At 41.7% G+C, this 6427-nt stretch overlaps 3 annotated features.

Moving 5' to 3' along the window:
* Positions 1014–2213: an enhancer, noted in NCBI's record as "MED14-independent group 3 enhancer chrX:4628486-4629685 (GRCh37/hg19 assembly coordinates)". NCBI's record gives its function as "activates an origin of replication core promoter dependent on BRD2, BRD4, P300/CBP and CDK7 cofactors, and independent of MED14, by STARR-seq in HCT116 cells {active_cell/tissue: HCT116}" and the evidence as "EXISTENCE:reporter gene assay evidence [ECO:0000049][PMID:35650434]".
* Positions 1043–1544: an enhancer, noted in NCBI's record as "NANOG hESC enhancer chrX:4628515-4629016 (GRCh37/hg19 assembly coordinates)". NCBI's record gives its function as "activates a minimal SCP1, AML or CMV promoter by ChIP-STARR-seq in primed H9 embryonic stem cells {active_cell/tissue: H9 hESC(primed)}" and the evidence as "EXISTENCE:reporter gene assay evidence [ECO:0000049][PMID:30033119]".
* Positions 1253–1542: an enhancer, noted in NCBI's record as "active region_29378". NCBI's record gives its function as "activates an Ori minimal core promoter by ATAC-STARR-seq in GM12878 lymphoblastoid cells {active_cell/tissue: GM12878}" and the evidence as "EXISTENCE:reporter gene assay evidence [ECO:0000049][PMID:35858748]".

Below are 6427 nucleotides of genomic sequence, written 5' to 3' on the forward strand. Positions count from 1 at the left end.
GAACTTCCTCAAATTGCTCCTGGGGATAACACCACTGTTGTAAAACCTCAGATCAGTGCTTGAGGTATTTTGCAGACCCTGCACTGGATCGATCAGCTGACATCACTCAGACAGGTAATCTGGCTCAACCAGTTCTGCCACCCCACCCAGGAACAGAAAACAACAAGAAAACCTCACTTTAACCCCCTATGATTCCATCTCCAACTCAACCAATTAGCACTCCCCACTTCTGGAGCCCCTACCTGCCAAATTATCCTTTAAAACTCTGGTCCTGGCTGGATGCAGTGGCTCATGCCTGTAATCTCAAAACTTTGAGAGGTTGAGGTAGGCTGATCACTTGAGGTAAGGAGTTCAAGACCAGCCAGTTGAGGTGGGCTGATCACTTGAGGTCAGGAGTTCAAGACCAGCCTGGCCAACCTGGCGAAACCCTGTCTTTACTAAAAATACAAAAAAAAAAAAAAAAAATTAGGCTTGGTGGTGCTTACTTGTAATCCCAGTTACCTGGGAGGCTGAGGCACAAGAATCGCTTGAACCTGGGAGGCAGAGGTTGCAGTGAGCCGAGATCGTACCACCGCACTCCAGCATGGATGACAAAGTGAGAGTCTGTCTCAAAACAAAAACAAAAACAAAAACAAACAAACAAACAAAAACACAAATGAGAACAACAAAAAAAAACCCCTCTGATCCCTGAATGCTCAGGGAGACTGATTTGAGTAATAATAAAACTCGGGTCTCATGCACAGCCAGCTGTGCATGAATTACTCCTTCTCCATTGTAATTCCCTTGTCTTGATAAATGGGCTCTGTCTAGGCAGGGGGCAAGGTGAACCCACTGTATGTTTACATAACTAGTAAATGGTTATTCTTATATCTCAATCCAAGCAGTTTCACCAAGGATCTTGTGCCTTCATCGTTAAAATGTAGTTATATATTTTTCTAATTCACTACAAAGACACAAGTATTATAATTTGTACCCAAAACTTCCTCTTCTAAACCAACGGACAGAAGGGAGAAGAGGATGTAAGATACATGTAAGGCAGAAAGGAAATGTAATTAAAAATCGAGTATCCAGGAAAGTCAAATTATGGAGAGGGACAAGGTTTGGGGCTACAAAGGAAAAAAATAAATAGGGAGCAGGTGATGTTGACTATGGAATCTTTAAAGATAAAGGTTCTATTTGGGTAGGTGAAGTAGTGAAAGGTGGTAAGAGAGGAGAAAGGAAAAAAACAGTCAGGCAGGCAGTTAGCGTGGGTCCTCCGTTGAATCCTTTGAAACAAAGGAACAGCCTGCAGGCAGAGATAAGGGAAGTTACACAGTGGGGCTTGCCCAAGACATGCCCGCAGCCACACAGATAAGAAAGGCTACACAGGTGACTTGCCCAGACATGCAAGCAATGGAAATTTCCATCTCCTGACACATGCCCAGTAAATGGAACAAAACAATACGGACTAACTCAAGCTAAGGGGCCGTGTGTGCATTAGGAGGATGGGGTAGAGCTACTAGATATGTGTGCCTTATGCAAATGAGAGGCCCAGACCTCACTGGTTTCTTATAAAAGCCTTTGCATTCAATTGTAAAAACAGCAACCCTCTTCCAGGTCCCCTCTCCGCAGCAGAGAGCTTTCTTCTTTCACTTATTAAACTTTCACTCCAACTTCATCCTTTCTGTCCATGCTCCTTGATTCTCTTAGTCATGAGACACAGAACTCTGGGTGATACCTCACAATGAGAGACTGCTACAATGTGGTGCACTGGCGAGACTGCAACAGTGTCATTCCTGATAAAAACAAAACATTGAGTAAAGAAATGGAGGAGGGTCTTGGCAAGACTTGGACTGCCCAGTATGGTGGTGTTGACGAGAGTCCAACTCTGTAAAATATTTGAAGAGATTTATTCTGAGCCAAATATGAGTGACCTTGGCCCGTGACACAGCCCTCAGGAGATCCTGAGAACATGTGTCCAAGATGGTCGGGGTGCAGCTTGGTTTTATACATTTTAGGGAGACATGAGACATCAATCAAATACATTTAAGAAAGACAGTGGTTCAGTCCAGAAAGGCAGGACAACCTGAAGCAAGGCGGGCAGGGGGGTGCTTCCAGGTTATAGGTAGATTTAAATTTTTCTGGTTGAAAATTGGTTGAGTTTATCCAAAGACCTGGGATTAATAGAAAGGAAATATCTGCAACGCAATAAGAGGTTATGGAGTCCAAAGTTTTATTACGCAGATGCAGCCTCCAAGTAGCAGGCTTCAGAAAGAATAAACTGTAAATGCTTCTTACCAGACTTAAGGTCTGTTGATGTTAATGCCAGAGAGATGTAATGAGGCATATTCGACCCCCAATTTCCATCATAGTCTGAACAAATCTTTCAGGTTAAAAGTGCCCTAGCTGAGGAGGAAGCCCATTCAGATGGTTTGGGGTCCTTAGAATTTTATTTTTGGTTTACATTGGTCATTAGCCATATGTGACTACTTTAAGTTAATTAAAATGAATAATGATTAACCATTCAGTATCTGAGTTATAATTGCTACATTTCAAGTGCTCTGTACCCATACATGGCTAGTGGCTACCATACTGGACAGCCAAGAATAGAACATTTGCATTATTTCAAATAGTTGTGTTGGAGAGTGCTGGTCTTGGAAAAATAACTCAGGGTATAGCAGAGCAAAGATGCTTCTATAAGCAGTTAACTTTTAGATGTATAGTATGAAGCAAGGAGAGGGAAAGGTGTGAATGAGTCAAATGTAAAAAAAAAATGACTTTAATGTATATGAATTGCATTAAAATTATCCCTAAAGTTTAGAAATATCTTTTTTCAAATCTCAAGCAATAGTTTGTAAATGATACAAAAATATTAGCTTAAGACCATGAATACACATAAAATAGGCTTTATAAAAATAGAAAAAATGTCATTAAATTTTGAATGACTGTTTCATAGTAGATATTTTTCCTCTCTAAATGTATTAAATAAATTCAAATTGTGTGTGGATACAGAGCCAACTAAAATTTCCTTGTTCTTTCATAGTTCTCCCCATTTGTAGTCTATAATCTCTGGAATTGAAACCACAGCCATTTGCTCTTTTTTTTGAACATTATATTTTTAGTAATAATATTAATATTTTTTCTTATCTATTTTTGATACAGGGTTTCATTCTGTCGCCCAGGCTGGAGTGCAGTGGCACCATCTCTGCTCACTGCAACCTGGACATCCCAGGCTCAAATGATCCTCCCACCTCAGCATCCCAAGTAGCTGGGACTACAGGTGTGCACCACCACGCCTGGCTAATTTTTCTGTAGAGACAGGGCCCAACTAAGTTTTCTAGTCTGGTTTTGAACTCCTGGGCTCAAGCAATCTGCCCATCTTAGCCACTCAAAATGCTGGGATTACAGGCGTGAGCCACTGCACCAGTCTGCTCTTTTTAATTCCTTCCAAATGACCTCTGATTTTTGGGAGTTCACATGCTTTTCAGATTAAAACAAAAAACGAAAAGCAAAAACAGGAAACCTATTGCTCAAGTGATACTAAAAACAACACTATGAGTTTAAAAAATAATTTTCAATTTTATTTAATTAGATTTTCTTCTCATGGTATCCAAGCAGGTTTAAAATATTATTGGAAATAAACAACAAGTAAAAAAAAAATAGACAAATGTTCATAATGTACACTAAATATAAAACTAAAGCAAAAATATAGCATTCTTATTTTTTCTGCCCTGGCTGAATAATGATATTTTAATTTTTAAAATACATTGTCAACAACAACTCTTTCCTTTAAAAATTTTCCCTACAGAAGAGAGAATTCAGGACCAAGTGTTGATTTTGTCTAAAGAAGTAATTTATAGTAATGGTAATTACAACCTACTTACATATTTACAAATAAGGATTCTTATGTACTCTTTATTTGTTAAAAAAAAAAAAAAAAAATTAATAGGTCTCACCGTGTTGCCCAGGCTGGTCTTGAACTCCTGAGCTCAAGCGATCCACCTGTCTTGCCCTCCAAACGTGCTGGGATTACAGGTGTGACCCATGGTGCCCAGACCCAATAAGTTTTTTGTTTGTTTGTTTGTTTGTTTTTTTTTGTTTTTTGGAGGCAGAGTCTCACTTTATTGCCAAGCTGGAGTGCAGTGGCACAATCTTGGCTCACTGCAATCTCCGCCTCCTGGGTTCAAGTGATTCTCCTGCCTCAGCCTCCTGAATAGCTGAGGTTACAGACACCCGCCACCACACCCAGCTAAGTTTTGTATTTTTAGTAGAGATGGGGTTTCACCATGCTGGCCAGGCTGGTCTCAAACTGTTGGCCTCAAGTGATCTGCCTACCGCGGCTTCCCAAAGTGCTGGGATTACAGGCATGAGCCACCATGCCTGCCCCCGGCCCCATATACCTTTTTAAATTATGGATTATTACTTCCTTGTGAGAACTTCCTGGAAATGATTCCTGTGTAATGCTAGTCATGGTGATACAGACAGGAGGTAGGGAAATACTGGGTAGAAGTGGGCGGTTCCCTGGCAAAGGCCCCACCCCTGGAAACCGTGGCCCTAAATGAGAACAGTTATCCCTGTTTTTCTGCCCAAATGTTACTTTTTTGGCCCACTCTCCCTCCCTTTCCTGTGCCCATATAAACTCCAGACCTCAGCTGGCAGAGAGACAAGTGGCACATGTCGAGAGGAGAAGAAGCAACTGAGCATCAGAGACTACAGATAGACGCAGCTTAAATTCAGATGGCACGACTTCGGAGAGAAGCTTGCCCAGAGATGGCCAGGCTTCAGGGAAAGATCACCTTCTTCCGCACCCTCCCCTTTCCAGTTCCCCTTCTGCTGAGAGCCACTTCCACTGCTTAAGAAAACCTCTGCATTCATCATCCTTCAAGTCCATGTGAGCTGATTCTTCCTGGAGGCGGGACAAGGACCCGGGTACCAAGAGAGCAGGGTGTAAAAGGCTGTCACCCTGACTCTCCACTGATCTGGTTAACACTTAGCCGGCTGTGGACGGCAACTGCTAAAAGAACATTAATTGTAACACACTCCTAGACGCCGCCTTGGCCTTGGGGCCAGAACTCAAAATCACTCGCCGCAGCTCTTGCGCCCGCTCACTGGCATGCTCCCCCTCCCACAAGGGGGAGTAAATGAACCACATCCCTGTCCCAAGTCCATCCCGCAAGGGGGTCACGGGAACTCTCCTGTCTCAGTGGGGTTTTTTGATGAAACATGTCACTTTTCATGTAAAATGCTACTGTGAATTCTGCAGCATCTTTTTGATTTTGCTTTTCTACATTGTAGAGACCACACACTTTTCTCTGAGAAATCCACTGGGATAACAGATTCAATGAAATAGCTCTGCTTGACAGAAATTTCACATATTCCTCAGAGAAAATGAAATTTCCAATCAGTTTTAAGCAAAAATATTCTTTTTTCTTGCCCCAGCTGGTACAAATGGAATCTAAACAAATTCTACAAAGGAGCAAGATTGAAAATATGAATTTTGAAGTGACAGTCAACCAGCTATGTATATTTTTGTGTTGGAAAGAATTCCCTCAATACATTACACCTCAACTGGGGCCATTAAACACCAGAACAACCACTGCTTTGACATTTAGCACCAGAATCCATCACATTTGGTAAAGGAACAAATCTCTGTGGGAAAGCAATTGTATTCTTGAAAGTGTGTATTCCATGAATTCTCTCTACATTTCAGCTCTGTAACACCCTGAACAAATGTGCGGAATATTTGGTGGTTTGTGTTTTTTCCTCCATATTCTTCAAACTTTTCTTTCTTTCTTTTTCTTTCTTTCTTCACTGACTTTTCTTTCTTCTTTCTTTCTTTTCTTTCTTTCTTTCTTTGTTTCCCTCCCTCCCTCCCTCCCTCCCTCCCTCTCTCTCTCTCTCTCTTTCTTTCTTTCTTTCTTCCTAGGTCTCACTCTGTTGCCCAGACTGGAGTGCAGTGCCACAATCATGGCTCACTGTAGCCTCAAGCTCCTGGGCTCAAGCAATCCTCCCACCTCAGCCTCCCATATAGCAGGGACTACAGGTGTGCTCCACCACACCCAGATAATTTTTTAACTTTTTTGTGGAGATGGAGTTTTGCCATGTTGTCCAGGCTGGTCTCAAACTCCTGGCCTCAAGCAATCTTCCTATCTGGGCCTTCCAAAGTGTTGGGATTACAGCCATCAGCCACTGCACCCGGCCTTGTTCTTCAACCTTTCTAAGATAAACCACACAGCTGCTCTATGTAACATAGTTGGTGGAGGGGAGAGTAACTAGTTTCTGAGGTTTATTAAACATGCTCGTAATCATTATAATTTGATTAATGACAGTAATTAAATGTTGCATGCATTGCTACAAGAGAGCTTTCACTCATCTAATTAGTTAATAACATGGGTAAGGAAAATAAATGCCACTATGTTCTGGTATCACCCAACTGAGGATAAAAATG

Source organism: Homo sapiens, chromosome X (genome assembly GCF_000001405.40).
Source record: "Homo sapiens chromosome X, GRCh38.p14 Primary Assembly".
Lineage (NCBI taxonomy): Eukaryota > Metazoa > Chordata > Mammalia > Primates > Hominidae > Homo > Homo sapiens.